This window comes from Homo sapiens, chromosome 11, assembly GCF_000001405.40.
Source record: "Homo sapiens chromosome 11, GRCh38.p14 Primary Assembly".
Lineage (NCBI taxonomy): Eukaryota > Metazoa > Chordata > Mammalia > Primates > Hominidae > Homo > Homo sapiens.
In genome coordinates, this window is record NC_000011.10 from 79,091,416 (window position 1) to 79,107,944 (window position 16,529).

Genomic DNA, 16,529 nt, shown 5'->3' on the forward strand with positions numbered 1-16,529 from the left:
AAAATAAATCTCTCATCCTGCCTGCATTCCTCTACCCTGCGGAGGAAGCTTCTTTGCAGTCTTCAGCGTAATTTTTCTAAAAAGCAAATCAGACCACAATCCTGTCCCTGCTCAGAACCTTAAATGGTTCTCTACTGCCTAAAGTCTTGCTACTCAAGGGGTGACACATAGACTAGTAGCATCAGCATTACTATGCTTGTTAAAAATACAGAATCACAGGCTCTCCCCAAGACCTACTCAATCAGAATCTGCAATTAGATCCCCAGGTGACTCCTATGACACTGAGGTCTGAAAAACATGGGACTGCAGGATGCCAACACAGACCTTCACATCCTCACACCTGATGTGACCTCTCCTATTTCATCTCCACCCTCTTTTTTCAAATATACTTAGTGCCACTCTGGCCTGCACACCTGTCATCTCCTGCATCCAAACCTTTGTACGCATGCTGCCCTCCCCTAGAATAACCTTCCCCTCATGGCTGCCAGCTGTAATTCCTTCCTAACTTGGGAGTCACGCTTAAATCCTCCAGGAGCTTCCTTAGATGCCCTCCCACATGCCCCCTGACTTCATCGCCTCATCATCCCTCACTTCCCCAACCCAGTGCTCCTGGATTCTGTTGGAGAGCTCAGTGCTCTGCAATTTGTCTATTATTTAGGTGGGTGTTGGTCTCATTCAAAATATGGTGAGCCCTGGAGGCAAGGGGCAGGCCTTTTTTTCTTTACATCCCTCCATTCCAACTCCATCTCTGCTGCCAGGCACTGGGGATGCAGATGGGATTTAGAGCCTGCCTTGGGGAGCGCCCAGTCTGGTGGGGCAGACTGACTTTCAAAGTAATGAGTGTACGTACATGTTCTTGACACAGGTTTGTGGCAATGCGTGAGATGTTTACTGAGCTGAACCATTTTCAAGGCTGAGGGAGCCAAGTGAATGATCACTGACTCCCCTCCTCATGCACCTTTCCCAGTAGATCTTCCATTCTCCCCTGATGGAGACCTCCTGACTCCTAGGCCAAGTTCTCGGGAGACTGCGTCATTCGCATGGACCCAGCTTTGTCCCCCATCACATCCTGGCCATCAGTGGACCTTCTAAGTGTGGCCTCTATCTTCTCACATGGCTAGCAGAGTGTGCACAATTGGTAGGAAATGAAATGCTCACAGCCAGCCAGGCCTGGAAAGGGTTCATGCTGCTTATTTTAACTAAAGAGTAGGCGGCCAGTTCTCTTCATTCTTATCCCCTGCTCAATGAGTCAAGTTAGTACATTAATAAAGTAATGCATTAATTAATAGATCCATCAAACATTTACTGAACACCTATTTTGTGCCAGGCCACAGAGGCAGATGTTTAGAATACAAAGATAAATGGCTTCTGGTTGCTGCTCCCAGCTGAGGCTTTTCTCCTGGTTCGTAGGAGGAGGCTCTAGAATCTGGAGAGCTGGCTGCTAGCCCTGGATCCCTTGTTTCCTGAGGTAAGTTACTCTAATTCTCAGAGCCTTGTTTTCCTTATCTGCAGTATGAGGATTGTAACCACTGAGCTGTCTCACAAACTTGAGAGGCTCAAACAGAATTACATGTCAAGAGTACTTGGTAAGTTGCACAATGCTATACTAATTGTGCAATGGTTACTGAGACAGGTGGTGTTAGTGACTTAACCCAAGAATCATTCTCTACCCCATTTTCCAGGCTAACACAAGCCAAATTTTGCTGGAGAAAGCAACACACTTAGCCCTGGGGCAATGACTCATAATTTGGCTAAGGCAATCAAGACAAGTCTGTTTCCTCTTTGCCAGATACTCAACTTCCCAGCCTCCCTTGCAGCTAGTGGTAATCATGTGACCCACTTCTGGCCAGTAAGATGAAAAAAGGAAGTTCACTGGACTGGCAGAGGGAGCTTGGGAGGGCTTTTGCTGATGCCACTTGTTCTTCTTGCCATAAAGGTAAGCTCTGCTGGCCATCTTGGGATTGGAAAGTGACAGGCATGAGGACTACGAGCCACCTTTAAGGACGGTGGAGTAGAGCAACTTTCCCTTTCTACTTCCCCCATTCCTAGGGCCCCACTCAAGGCACCATCCTCTCCTGGGTGGAGGCTACAGCCTCTGATCATCTGCTGTATGATGATTCACTGTGATGGCAAAGTGGGAGGAGATGCTGATCCTGAAAACAGTATTTATGGTCCAGTGTGGGAAGTCCTTGGGGCAAAGAAAGCACTAGACACAGTGGGAACAAAGGAGGGGGAGGCCCAATCCAGAGTGGGGATGGCTTAGAGGTCAGAAATGCTGGGGGAGGAGTTGGAATGCATCCCCTTGTCTCTGTCTCATAGGTGCAAATCTCATCCATGCAACAGGACAATTCCAGGGCTTACGTCTTCTCCTCCTGGAGCCTCCATTGCTCTCAACTCAATAAACACTAAATAAGACTTGCCCAAGGCCATGTACCTTGAGCCAATGCCAAGCCAAGTCTTCACATCCCATCTTTACGGTTTAGGCTTATGCTGTCCAATATGGCAGCCACCAGCCAGGCACAGGTAGCTGAATTTAAGTTTCTAATTAAAATCAAAGTTACAAATTGAGTTCCTTAGTCATACTAGGTACATTTCAAAAGTACAATAGCCACATGTGGCTAGTGGCTACTGCATTAGAGACTGTAGACATAGCCCATCTCCATCATGGCGGAAGGTTCCACTGGACAGAGCTGGTTCAGAAGCTTGAGATAATCAGAAAATAACTCACAGATCCCTGCCTAGAGAGCACAGGACTGCACAGCAAGCATGGGTTTTGGGGCCAGACAGCCTGAGTATTTGGATGGAGTAAGGAAAAAGGAGGGGAGAGAACACTTCCTGAGTGCCTGTGATGGGCCAATCACTGTGCAGTATGCTTTATATGTGCTGGCCCATTTATCCCTCACAGCAGCTCTGTGCAAGTGCCATTTTTAAATTCCATGTGACTGATGAAGACACGGAGCTCAGGGGTGTGAAAAGAGTTGTCCAAGACCCCATGCCTAGGAAACAGTAGGGCTGGGATATGGATCGAGATCTGACTCCGAGCCCATATTCGTCTACCATGCCTCTTTTCCAGGATGTCAGGTTTGGAGGTGTTTCCTCCCCTCACTCCCTTGTGAAAGAAAGGGGTGAATCAGTGAGAAGTGTCAAATTCCAGTAGGCATTGGGGGGTGGGGGATATTGTCCACACAGGCCCAGAGAGAGGTAGTCCTCCCTTCAGCTCTGACTGTCTCCCCAGCCTAGGAGGCTAGGTCACAGGGCAAAATCATTCTTTCCTGGGCCTCCTCTCCCAGGCTGGGCTGTTGCTATTAGAGGCCTCCGTAAATCAGGCCCCAGTCACCCCTGGAGACTCCAGACCAGTGGGGGAGGAGCTCCTACTGCAAGAAGATCAAGGTGCTAGGGCTCTCCCAGGGAGTTTGCGGAAGATTCAAAGGCTGGGGCCTGATTTACGAGGCTGCCTGTGGCTCCAGGCTGTCCCAGATCAATGCCTGCATCATCCTTAAACTCTGCATTAGTCTAGAGATGTGTCAAAGGATCTGAGGCCAGACCCAGGACAGGGGCAGATCTGTCCCTTCTCCCCTGCAAGGAGGCTTGGAGTCAGCCATGCCTGGCAGGAGATGTGTCCATGTCCAAGATCTTGCATCAGCCTGGGCATTTTTGGCTCTGCCTGATAGGGGTGGGGAGAGGGGGGTGAAGGGGCAGGAGCAGGCCCCTCTTGGAAATGGGGTCCAGGCTGCAGTCAGGAAGCTCTGCCCACAGAAATAGCCCTAGAGCCAGCCTTCACTCCTCATGGCAACCCTTTCAGGGAGGGAGGACTCTCCCTTTTTCATATGAGGAAATGGAAGCTCTGAGAGGGCAGGTGCCTCGCCCAGGTGGTAAGCAGCAGGGCAGGATTTGAACCCAGTTCTGACACTGAAATCTCTGCTTCTTGCCCTCTGCCTCCTTGCACAGTACCCCACACTTAGCGAGTCTTTCTCTACCAACTCCAAAGACAAAACTTACAAGCCATATCATTAATAGCAAGTATATATTCCTTTGTACTCTTCCAAGCTCTTCCATAGCCCTAATGAGTGATGAGAGGACACTGCATTATCTGCCCTGGGAAGTTTATAAAACGGGATGGACTCCCTTACCAAGGCTGACATCCAGGCCGGCAACCTGCCAGGAGACCCAGGGACCCGGTGACCTCCAGAGGCCCTTCCAGTTTGAGGCCCCTCTGGTGACTAACCTGGTCCTCCTACCAGGAAGGAAGCAGACTCCCCAGTGCTCACTGAAGCCATAAAGTTCTCAGTTCTTAGCCATTGTAGTACTAGTTTCCATTTAAAGACACATGCCCAAGAGGTGCTGGGTCACTCAGTCATCAGTATTTCTTTCAGTAACCTGGCAAAGTATTTTAAATGTGATTTGCAGAAGCTTATAGGAGTTAATGCCTCACAGATAGTAAGTAGCAGAGTTAGGGGTCAGCCTGGCTTCATTTACTTCCCACACCCTGTGTTCCCATGGCAGCACCTGGCCTCTAACAGCAGGCCAGGCCGGGAGAACCCATTGAGGGTCTCTCATGTGCCATCCGATTGCTATCTCTTTGTTCCTCTGCCCAGACGGTGTCTGACTTCCAGGCAACAATGCACACAGAAGTTACAAGTGTGGATACTAGAGTCAGAGCCTGGATTCCAATGCTGCTTCTTAACAGCTGTGTGACTTTCCACAAGTAATGCAACATCTCTGGGTCTCTGTTTCCTGTTCTGCAAAATGGGGGTACTGTCTACTTGCCCCAGGGACCTGCTGTGCTGAGGATCATTCCCAGGAAGCACCTAGCACCATGCTGGGTCCTGGCAAGCCACTGACAAATGTTCACTGTCACAATGGCCCTGCTTCCTCTGGTGCTCGGCACCAGGCTGACATCGAGTACACAGTCAATGAAGAAACAAGGAGACTCTGCAAGGAGATACATTAGGATGATGTACTGACAAAGCCTTGGGAAAACTGCTGGTGCCTTTGCTGGGGGGAAGATTTCCAGATGGAGCTCCTCAGGATGGCCTGCCAATCCAATAAACTCAGGTTCCTAGAAAGCCTCCCCCACCCCACCCCACCCCCACTCTGTAAGCCCCACCCAAACCAGGACAGCAGCAATTCTCCCCTTCCCCTGGTGTGCCTTCCCCGGTGGTCTGTTTCTTTAGGACAGGAACGCAGCTGTCTGGAAGGCACCCAGGGAAGCCATTCCTTGGGACATGTCCCCTGACCCACCCCCGGCAAGGCTGGGATGACAGAAGGACAAACCCAGCCAAACATATGGACCCGTGGCCCAGGATAGGCAACAGCTGGGCCACTGCCTGACTTTTCTTCTGCTCCTTGGAATATTCTGGCAATGAGAAGACATAGTCTCAGCAACTTATAGACATTTTCCCAGGAAATCCTAACCGCTAAGGGAACAATTTGCTCCATTCTCACACATTTCAATCTACTTATTTGGAAGACCAATCCTTGCGTGGGCATGCACGCACATGCGCGCGCGCGCGCACACACACACACACACACACACACACACACACACCCTTCATGTGGTCTTGTGTAGAAGTACACAAACCTGATAATAGCAACCACTAATATTTAGTATATGCTAAGTAATAAAAGTAGCTACTATAGTCATCATCTCATATAGTCCTCACAACAAGCATTGAGACAGGGGCTCTATCCACATTTCACAGATGAGGACACAGAGGTGGGCTGCCTTTCACAGAACAAGCTGCTAGCCATGCTGGGGCTGGCGTCGGAGCCCAGGTCTAAGAACTCTGGTACAAGGAATCCACTCCCTTTCCCGGATTTGCCTCCTCCACCTGTGCTTAAGGAGTTAACCTTGTCGGAGAGGTTTTCTTTCCTTGGTTATGTTTTCTATTCTTTGGGTAAGTTTGACAAAGTGGGGTTCTTTTTCATCGCCAGAGTCTGTGTCCCTGGAGGCTGAGGAAGGAACCAGAAGTTGCACTTTCCAACATGGATCGCCTGCTAATTTTCCAAGGCAGCTCAGCCCCTGCCAGCGTCCCCTCCCTCCTTTGGGCTGAGGGCCCAGGAACCCAGCCTCAAAGTTCAGCTTGCTTCCTCCAGCACGCACATTTGGAAATTGAAATTTCCCACATTTTCACCACACAAAAGCCAGGTTGTATTTTTGTTCTCTTCAAAATATGCCAAAGGAATTTTTCCTACCCCTTGAACTTTCTCCAAAAATAAGTAGAAAAAGTCAAGACCATTTTGCCCTGTAAGCTGAGAATAGAAAAATCAACATGCAGGGTGCCATTTCCAGGATGTTACGAAACAGCGAACATGTGAATCCGTCTCAACACCATTTGGCAACTTTGGGGATACAGTAGATGATATTTCTCACCCACAAACTCCTCACTGAGTTTATATTAACATTTTGCTTTTTTTTTTTAAAAAAAAAGAAAAAAGATTCTGAAAAAGGTAAGAAGCCTTGATAAATTACCACCACCTGGATTAAAATTCAGAGTCAGCACACTGACCACCAGCAAATAAAACATGAAACTATACAGATAACTTAGTAAAACAAAAAACGATAGTGGCCCAAGATAAATTAAACTTGCAGCATAAAGGTTGAAGCCAAGGAAGGAAGGGAAGTATTTATCCCATAACTAATGAAGACTGCAAAGAACTAAGTATAATCGTAAAAGTACATGGATTATTCTCAACTCACCAGATCATCCATTCCCAGGATTGTCTGCGATCCTGGTCTGGGCTTCCCAGGCCCCTGTATCTGCTGCCTTCAAAACCCTGCATGCGGGTCTCTTGTGTCTCCCCCACCCCCCCCCATCTCCCAGCTCAGTGAGAATCATCTTTCACAGTTTGATCACATCACTCCCAGCTCTGCTTATCTCTCCTGGCTTCCCTTCTCAAAGCCAAACAGCTAGCTCTGCCCCCAGGGCCCTTCTCCTGACCCCTGGCTCCTGACAGCCTACTCCCCAACCCCTGCTCATCACTTCCCAGGAATTTGCTTTAAGCAAGGGACCTGCCTGTGCACTGGCCTCCACTCAGCACGAGTCTGAGAGAGTCCAAGTAGAAAACAGGACACTTAGCTACCATCTACTCCCAACCTCTCTCCTGAGGAGGACTCACCCTAAAGGTAAGCTGGCTGAGTCCATCAGAATTTGCTCCCATGACTCGAGTAACCGGGAGCTCATGCACACCTGTACGGAAGAAAAGCAGACAGAGGACAAGGCTTGCAGACGAAAAGTGTACATCCAAACCCATCTCTCCCAGCTACCAGCTGTGCCATACTGGGCAAGCGATGGGTCTTCTCTGGGGCTCAGACCTTCCGTCTGGAAAATGAGGCTAATGAGTCCTACCTCATAGCCATCAACGACATCAGGAACATCATCATCATCATCCCTGGACAATTTCAGTGTGAAAGGAACGTGGTATTGCAGCTAGTAAGACCTGAATTGGAATCCCAGCTCCAGAACTTGGGGAAATGAGTCAACTTCTCTGACCTTCACTTTCCCCATCTATAAAGTAGGGATAGAAAGGTCTCCCTCAAAGGGTGACTGTCTAGATTGAATAAGATGACACATGTAAAAATGGCTTTGCAAACTGTTTAATTGGAATAAATATACGCATTTTTTTCTGCTGAGCTAAAACCTGACTTACGGTAACTCACCTGGGAACTTTGGTACACAGAGATGTTCCTGCCACAAGGACCTCTGAGCCTTCCCTCCTCCTGTTGGAGGAGCTCCGTTCCTTAGTCATTCCTGGGGGTCTCTGGTTTGCCTTGGGCACCACCTGGATTCCCCTCCTGCCAGGGGTGCATCTGAGGGAGTGCTGCTGGGATTTCCTTCTGTGGGGATCTAGCCCCAGTGCCTTTGCTCCAGACCCTCTCTCCTTTGCAGGCCCCCCATATAGTCTTCTGTGGAACATCCCATCCCATTGTTCATGTCCTTTTCCCTGTCGTTCTCATGGTGTGAATTTAAGGTCCCATGGGGAGAGGTCAGAGTCATGGTGTCCTCTTTGCCTCTGTGGTCCTGAACTAGTCATTTCCCCTCCCAAAGCACTTGCTCCCCTGGGTCTATATCAAAGAGGTGGATGATATCATCATCAGGTCTACTAATTGCAATGATCATCAAAACTATTTCATGCAGATTTTCCCAAAATGAATTTGACCTTGAATACTCCCCCACTTTCCCCTTTAATTTTTCAGTAGAGCTTCTCAGGGATTGTTTAGGAAGGACTGGGACTACAGCTCTTCAATGCTGACACCCTATACATCTGTATGCTCTTTAAGGCAAGATCCCCAGAGACCTTTTTGTAATCCTCACCACAAGGAACATAAAAGTTGGCCATAGCCATGATTGCTTCTAGATTGACAGAGAGCACAGCAAGCTCTGCTGTCACCACGTGGCTCTTGTTAATCTGTACCCATCTATCTGCCTAGCAAACACTTGTACTGTAACCTTCATGGGTGCCCATGGGGGTTTTAACAGCTGTGGAGCTTTTTGTTTCTCATGCATTTGTGCAGCCATTTGCTGCCCCAAGTATGGGGAGATGCTGTTCATAGCAGTTTAGCAGCAGTAAAGGGCTGTCTGGTTGAGCACTTTCACGCCAGGGCCGTTTTTAGCATCTTTAGCAATCTTTGCCTGGTACTCTCAGGTGGAGGAGGGGAGACAACCACTTATATCCCTCCCCTGAGCACGTTTCCCTGTCTGTAAAATGGGTATAAGGATATGCAAATCATAGGGTTTCCGTAAACATCAAATGCTATAACAAATACATGGAGAACAGCATATAGCACACTGTAAGCAGTTATTTCGCACTTTTCTCAACTTAAAAAGCTCATCACCCTTAGGTCCCCGCCCCCTCCTACACATCACTGACATCCAGTGGCAGATCTGGGTAACTACAGGTGTGAGTACCCAAAGCTCCAGCCTCTTCCGTGCCCAGTGGACCTCGTTTCAGGGATTGTGGGGTGTCTTCTAAGTAGTGTTAGCCAAGACCTGCCTCTGATTTTCCAGGCACTTCCATATTTATCATCTAATTTCATCCCCACCTCAACCTTTAATGGTGAATAGCTTACAATGACAAAGGGAGGATCATAGCTAGTTGTGGGGCAGGACTGAGGCCTGCCCTCGATGGTAAATTCCTTGAGGTCAGGGAATTTGTCTGTCTCATTTCCCACGACATCATCCCTGTACCTATGGCGCTGCTTGGCACACAGTAAGTGCTCAGTAAATATCTGTAGAAGCAATGACAATTTTAGGAAACCCCAATCTGTGCCAGTCCCCCTCCAGTTTAGAAGTCCATATGGTGAAGGGACTTGCTCCAAGTGACAAGTGGCAACCTGCTCCAGGAATAAACTTACAAGGAAGCCCCTCCCTCTCTCCTCCCAATGTGTTTTCAAGTGGACAAAAGGTATTTAGCAGGGGTGTTCTTAACCTTCCACTCCCCTTATCTGGAAAGGAGTCTGCCTGTGTCCTCTGTCCATTTTCTCCAGGCCCTTTCCCATCCCCCAGAAAAGGTCACACCAGACTGGGGTAGGGAAAGAAGCAAAAATGGAAGCTGCAGAGGCGTGTGGGCTGGACTGGGGAGAGTGCTTCTCTGGGGGAGGGTTGCAAAGCATCCAGGATTATAAAGAAAAGCAAGAGAATAAGTGTAGGAGGGCAGCTACCTGGGAAGAGGGGAGGGTATTGGGGGCCATCCCCAGGGTTTCAAAGGTGGCATCATGTTCTGTTTCTTAAGCTAGCTGGTGGGGCCATGAGAGTTTCTCATTATTGTTTACACTGAACATATTTGTTATAAACACTCTCTGTAGAATATAAAAAATTTTCATAAAAAATATTTTAAAAGAGATATAGGAGAAGCTGATGTCAGTAAATGCAGTAGAGGGCAGAGAGAAAAGGCGGATTTTAAGCAGTTTTTCTGTGGATTTGGTGGTTCTTGATAACTTCTGAGAAATATTAGGTGGAAGTCTGAGTTATTCTGATGTTATTTCTGATTGTTGGGCCATGTCTTGACCTTGGCATGCTCCAGGACTAACACACAGGGTCCTGGCTTTACAGCCCTTACTTTGGCTTGACTTTGAAATGGATTGACATGGCGGAGAGGCTCTTGATTGATAGAAGCAGAATTAAGAAACCGTTGCGTCCTGGAGGGCTGAGTAATCCTGCACAGTGCTTTACTTCTCTGGGTTCCTTGTGTTACGTGGGTAAATGATGCTCTGCGCCTCACTTTCCTCTCAGGGCTGGTGTGAGGATTTAATGAGAACATGCAAATGAGGGTGCTTTATAAACCAGAAAACATGCTGTAACTGTGGGACGACTATTACCATAAGCACTGCTGGCAGAAAAGTACTCTGAAAATGACATAAAGTGCCCCCCAAATGTGAGGCATTTATGTTATAACTGGGCATAACTTTCAGCCAAGGTTTCCTGGAACAGAATCAAGTTTTCATACCACTCCAGCCAAAACAGGTGGAAAGTGCACTTGGCAGCTGTCTTCTAGCTCCAGAAGATTTATGATGAGAGACTGGATAGTGCCAGGGCTAGGAACCAGGCTCCAGGGCCAGATCGTGTGAGTTTGAGTCCTAGCAACACTTTCTACTGGCTTGGGCAAAGTATGACCTTGGGAAATTTCTTAACTTCTCCATGCCCCAGTCTCCTGATGTATAACATGGGCAAAACAATGGTAGCTAGAGCATAGAGCTCTTCTGAGAATTAAATGAGTTGGTATGTACAGTGATCAGGACAGTGTCTGACAAGGAGGAAGCGTCCGTCAAGTACAGCAGTTATCAATGTTAGTACAATATAGGCTCCATTTTCTGAGGGAAAAATAAACAGAAGGAATAGGCATCTGTTGCAGTCATACATTGGAAAGCTGGGTTAGACACTTGGAAGAACTTCCTGAGAAGGTCGCACAGTGCTCATCATGAAATTTGGGGGATCCCCAGGGAGCTCCCTCTTGTTCAACCATGGGCTGGTGCAATGGTAAAGCTGAAGCTCCAACACTCCTCAGCCACCCTTCGAAAAATATAAGAATATACTCTGGCTCCTGGAGAAGCCAGCGCTGAGCTAGGTAAATAATCGGGAAATGCTGAAAAATGACCCACAGCCTTGTCCCTGCTCCCAAAGCTCCTGGTACCTGGTGGACATCTGTGAGATGTTATGAGGGTTCAAGGAACAGCACATGTGAAGCCCTTGGCATGGTGCCTTGCACACCGTAAGCACCATGGTCATTGCTATCGCTTTTGTCTGTCCATCCATCTATCCACCCATCCTCAAGTGATCTTTCCAAAGCAACTCTGTCCAAAAAGGACTTTCTGTCACAATACACACATTCTGTATCTGCACTGTCCATGTGGCCAGCTAGCCACCTGTGGCTGTTGAGCACTTGAGATGTGACTAGTGTGACTGAGGAATTGAGTTTTTCATTTAACTTTTTTTTCCAGATGTTCTTATGGATTTTTTTTAAGGTCACTTTTAATTAATTTAAATAGCCGCCTGTGGCTTGTGGCTACCACATTAGACAGCATAGTTCTAAAGCCAAAACATAGCCATGTCACTTCTTGGTGTCGAGTCTTTCCAAGTCTCTAGTCCCTTTGATATGCATCCAAGACCCAGTACAACCTCCAGATGAGGGGTGTTCCCTGTGCTCATCCTGCCTTGAAGCCAGATGGAACAGCTCACTGCTCCCTGAATACACTGGCGGTGCCGCTGTCCCTCTGCTTCCAATGCCCTTTCTGCCTTGTCTGCCTGGTAACCTCTTCAGGAAGCTTTCTTAGGCTCTCCCCACAATCCAAGGAGGGTGGGGATGCCCCCTTGGATGGCTCCCCCAACCTCCAGGACTCCCCCCTCCCCTGGGATTTACCCAGCATGGATCAAATGCATATTAGAATAAAATAATGTTGTATGATTATAGAAATAACACATTGTTATTGCACATAATTCTGATTGCTCCCTGAAGGATGACCAGGGCCATGTTGTAAGCATTTCTGTGGCTGGTGCTCTGGGGTGCATAGAGGTCTAGAAGACTCAGTCCACTGTTGTGGGCCCACAGTGCATCCCCTTTAGGTGGAATCATGGACTTCCACCAAGGCCCTTCCACTTCCCAAGGTCCGTCCTCTTAGCATCACTCGCATACATTACTGCATTTCATCAATCCTAAGATGCCAGCAATTGCAAGATGCACCATCGATTCAGTAATAGGCTTTCTGAGACAAGAAAACAAACAAAGCACTACCTTAATGTACACATGGATTGTAAGATACTTTCCGATTTCATAAATGTCAAAATGTAAAGAAAAAAATTGCTGAAAATCAAGGAAAGTGAGGCAAACTGTGAGCTGGCCTCTTGGGAGATGCCCCTTCTAGAGACTCATTCTGCAGTGGGCACTTGAAGGGCACCTTCCTCTGCTCCCCACTCGCTGTCTTAGGCGAACTGCTATCTGATTGGGCCTCCGGAATGGAAGGATTCAGATGGGTCCTATGGTTTTTTGAATGGACCAAATGAATATTAGAATAAAAATTTTTCTGGATCATAGAAATAATACGTTGTAATGGCACCTAATTCTCTTTCATCCAGGGCGTTTGTGTTAGCTGTTTCTTCTTCTTAGAACACCCCTATCCCAGATTTCATTTGGGTCTCTCTTCCCTATTTTTCTCAATTAAATGCCCCTCTAAAGAGTGGTCTTCCCTTCCTAGCTGAAATTGGTCTCACCTCCCCCTGCTCTGTCAGTTTTTCTCAAATTAACCATCTCATTTTCTTCCCAGCACTTATCAGCATTTGGAATTAATTGTCTAATTATTTATTCCTTGTCTTTCCCCAGCAAGATAGTAAGCTTCTGAAAAGCAAGGATTTTGTCTCATAGGTATTCAAGAAATTTTTGTGAGTAACTGAAAGTACAGAAAAGAATAAAGAAAATAATAAGGACTCCCTGTGTCCTCACTACTCAGAATCACAATTAACATCTTAGCGCATAGCTATCCTTCTAGACATTTTCTGCATCTACGTATGCTCATACGATCACGTTTTTAACATTAGAGATGTGACCTTTCTATTTAGACTGCTTTCTAATCTGCTTCCCCACCTCACTTACTATACCATGAGTATCTTTCACATCCATATCACAGCTGGGCCTCACTGGTTTTAAAGGAGGCATGCTATTTCCCCATATGGAGTAACCCTCATTGATTTAACCGGACCCTGCAGGTGGACACTTAGGTTGCTCCAGGTCTTCCCATTATGATAAGCAATGCTGCCAATGAGCATCTTGCTGCAAATGCCTTTGCATGATGTTCTGCTTATTTCCATTAAAACGTTATTAGTGGGTCAAAGAGTATGTGATATTACTAGGCTTTGGCTAAGTAGTGAGAATGGGGCCATTTCACAGGTGAGCGATCCTACTGTACACAAAGCACTTTACAAGGCTCCAAGGGGGTTGAGAAGGAGATAGGAGGTGGGCTCATCTCCATCCCTTGGGCAAATACTGTCCAGCACCCTTGTGAAGTTTCTAAGCCTCAACTGAACGGCTGCTTGGAGCTAGTGACTTAGCCATTAGAGGTTTTAGTCATAGACATTATTTTTACAAAAATGATTTTAAAAGGTTTTAGAATACATAAATACATTCATGCATGTGCCAGAAAGATGCAATTTACAATTAAGTTCTATAATCACACCTGACCAAACCCACAACTCAATATAGCACAGGTGTGAGCCACCAACGAACCCCAATTTCAGTTCGAAAGGGTGAAATCATTATTTTCACCCTCTCAACATATTTAATAGTTGTTGTAAAACAAATGAATATAATTTGGCTTCATTTGGAATTCCCTTTTCTGTTATTGCTTCCTTGCAATTCTAGTTGAGCTGAAATCTATTAAATACAACAACTTCCCATCACCTGTGTGCTCAAGCAAATCCAGTCTGACACTGGGTGAAGAACTACAGTTTGGAAACACAGGAACAAAGGATGTGTGGAAACACTGACTTCTCATCCTCTAGAGTTCACATAATTCAAATCCAATTCTCCCCAGCCCTCCCAGCTCTGCCCTGCCTGCCTTCATTGAGGTCAGATAGCAGAGTGATGCTGATCCTTCATATAAAAACAGCACATCACAAGCTATAATATAAGTTCCACCTTTGTTGCTCCTGATGCTGGGAAGGTTGGCTGAGAAAACAAGGGCTCACTTTGCAGATGAGGCTCAGGTCAGGGAAAGGTGGAGCTGGTAGGGGCCTGCCAAATGAGGCAGGCTGGTCAGTGCCTATGTCTTTCCCCCTTCCCCAAGCTGGTTTCAGCCCCATGGTTTGAAGTAAAGAAGTCCCCAAACTTCAATTTGGCAGCTATTGCCCTAAACCAGATGACTAAAGGGCTGACTCTGAGCAGCAGTTTGCAAGAGCAAGGTAACAGTGTTGCTGGCTGGTTGAGAGAACCAGCTTATGCCGGGTGAACTCTACTTAGTATTATGAATTAATGGTGCTAGGAGATGCTAATTATGTTCTAAAGGCTTACCTAAGTAAAACAAAATGTTGGAAACTTTTATTTTGACATTTTGCTTTTCCATGAAATCTTAAAATCAGAACCACTGATTCATACAACCACAAACAAGAAGTTATATTATTTTTAACAAATTACCTAGATTCTAGTCACCACGCTAATGTCTCACACATGCTCTCTTCAAGCCTCAAGATAATCATATGAAGTGGAAATCATTATCTCCTTTTTATAGACCAGGAAACTGAAGCCCAGAAAGTAACATTATTTGCTCCAAGTCACAGAGTGAAGAAGTGGCAAAGGCAGGATCCTAACTCAAGTCTAGCGCCAGAGCATAGCTACCTAGATGAGGGAAGGAGGGCAGGAATCTCCCCAGCATAGCTGGGTAATGATGCTTTTATTCATGGATCACACCTTTGCAGAATACCCTCTGGGAGGAAGCCCAGCCTAGTGGAAAAAGGCTGCTTAGGGACAGGCAGTCCCAGGCTGGGGTCCTTGTGTTCCCCCTACCAGCAGAGTGACCAGCTGGCTGCTTAACCTCTCAGGGCTTCAGTGTCTCCAAGTGTAATGCAAAGATATGCTATCTTCCTGTTGTGTTGCTGGGAGGACTACAGGAAGAAGCATGTGAGGAAAGAGCTAAGCAGTGCCTGCCACATAGTAGGTGCTTGACAGACGTCGGTCCTCTTGCCTGTCCCTGAAGGGAAGCCACTGAGCAAGTCACCAACACTCAGGGCTTAGGGTTGGATGTGCTCTTTGATGTCAGCTGGCTCAACTCTCCCACTTTACAGATGGGAAAACCGAGGTTCAGAAAGGAATGGCAACTTGTCCAAGATCACAGTGCAGGGCAATGGCAGAGATGGGACAAGAACTCATCTGCTGACCCGCATCTTCTGCTTTTTCTACAACAGCCTGTTGGTAACTTTACCTCTTCATGGCAGCTGCCAAGTGAGCTATAATGTAAGTAGATTAGAGATGAAGAACAGCATGAATATTTTGATGGGTTAGTGAAAGGAAAACAATAACTATTTGACCAAAGAGTAATTGTCTAGAATATACTTTCTTATTTATCAAATAAGTATGCAGCACTTACTCTGCACCTGCCCGGAACTGTTCTAAGGCCTTCACAAACATGAGCTTGCTTCATCATCAGTACAATCCTAGGAGGAAGTTACTCTTTCTATCATCCCCATTTTATGGATGAGGAACAGGTGGCACAGAGAGGTTAACTTGCTCACGGTTCTATTTCTAGTAAATGGGCAGAGCTGGGATCTGAATCCAGGCAGCATGGCTACAGGGTCCATATCATAATCACTATGGCATGCTGCTTCTCACAAGGAATAATGAATTTATTTTTACTGTATACAAGACTGCACATTACTTGAGAATACTAATCATAATCATAATCATAATCATAGTGGCATTAATAGGAAAAAATACAAACAGACGATCCCCTCTGTGAGTTTCTTTGGAAACTTAATGGTACCTCCCCAAGTTTCCAAAATTCTCCTTCCCCATCTCTCCACCCACCTCTGTGGCACATCCCATTCCCCTCACCTGGAAATATTTTCCTTCCTTGTCTGACTTCCAGTCTTATCCTTCAAGACTCAGCTAGGATATCACTAGCTTTGGGAAAGCCTTTCCAACAGTGTCTCAATCACAGAGGGTCAATGTTCCCTGATTCAGCAGGGTTTGACCTTGTGTCCATGATGAGAATGGCTAAAAAAGATAATGACTTTCCTCAAAGAACCTTCCCAGTGGTCTCAGATCACTCCGCTCATCAATGATGCCCAGGAGTAAGATCATAGTCACTTCACTGAGGCATGGATGTGTCTAATGCCCTTGATGCCACACGCATTTATGGGATAGCTTCTTTGCACCTGGCATTTTCACACGTTATTGCATTTAATGAACATTCCAAGCTTTGAGGCAAGTACTGTCAACCCTATTTGAGCAAGAAGGACCCTGGATTGGGAAAATCAGATAACTTGTCTGAGGCCACACAGCCAGCTAAGTGATAGCACTGGGATCTGAAGCCAGGTTCCCAAATCCCT

At 46.7% G+C, this 16,529-nt stretch overlaps 1 protein-coding gene and 1 long non-coding RNA gene across 8 annotated transcripts in view, besides 1 other annotated feature; one reads left to right on the top strand and one right to left on the bottom strand.

The window, feature by feature from the left end:
* The window catches only part of TENM4 (teneurin transmembrane protein 4), a 788,202-nt gene that overhangs the window by 438,587 nt on the left and 333,086 nt on the right, over positions 1–16,529 (bottom strand). The window lies entirely within an intron of this gene.
* On the top strand, positions 1,433–7,640 carry TENM4-AS1 (TENM4 antisense RNA 1). 3 transcript variants are annotated; one of them, NR_199025.1, is made up of 4 exons: positions 1,433–1,468; positions 1,790–1,936; positions 2,050–2,171; positions 2,320–2,420. It is a non-coding gene; the product is annotated as a TENM4 antisense RNA 1 (long non-coding RNA). The 3 variants fall into 3 exon arrangements; NR_199026.1 differs by lacking the exons at positions 1,433–1,468; positions 2,050–2,171; positions 2,320–2,420 and adding an exon at positions 4,596–7,640 and having other exon boundaries at positions 1,858–1,936; NR_199027.1 differs by lacking the exons at positions 1,433–1,468; positions 2,050–2,171; positions 2,320–2,420 and adding an exon at positions 5,935–7,640 and having other exon boundaries at positions 1,858–1,936.
* Positions 8,669–8,963: a silencer, noted in NCBI's record as "tiled region #11539; K562 Repressive DNase unmatched - State 12:CtcfO". NCBI's record gives its function as "represses a minimal TATA promoter and a strong SV40 promoter by Sharpr-MPRA in K562 cells {active_cell/tissue: K562}" and the evidence as "EXISTENCE:reporter gene assay evidence [ECO:0000049][PMID:27701403]".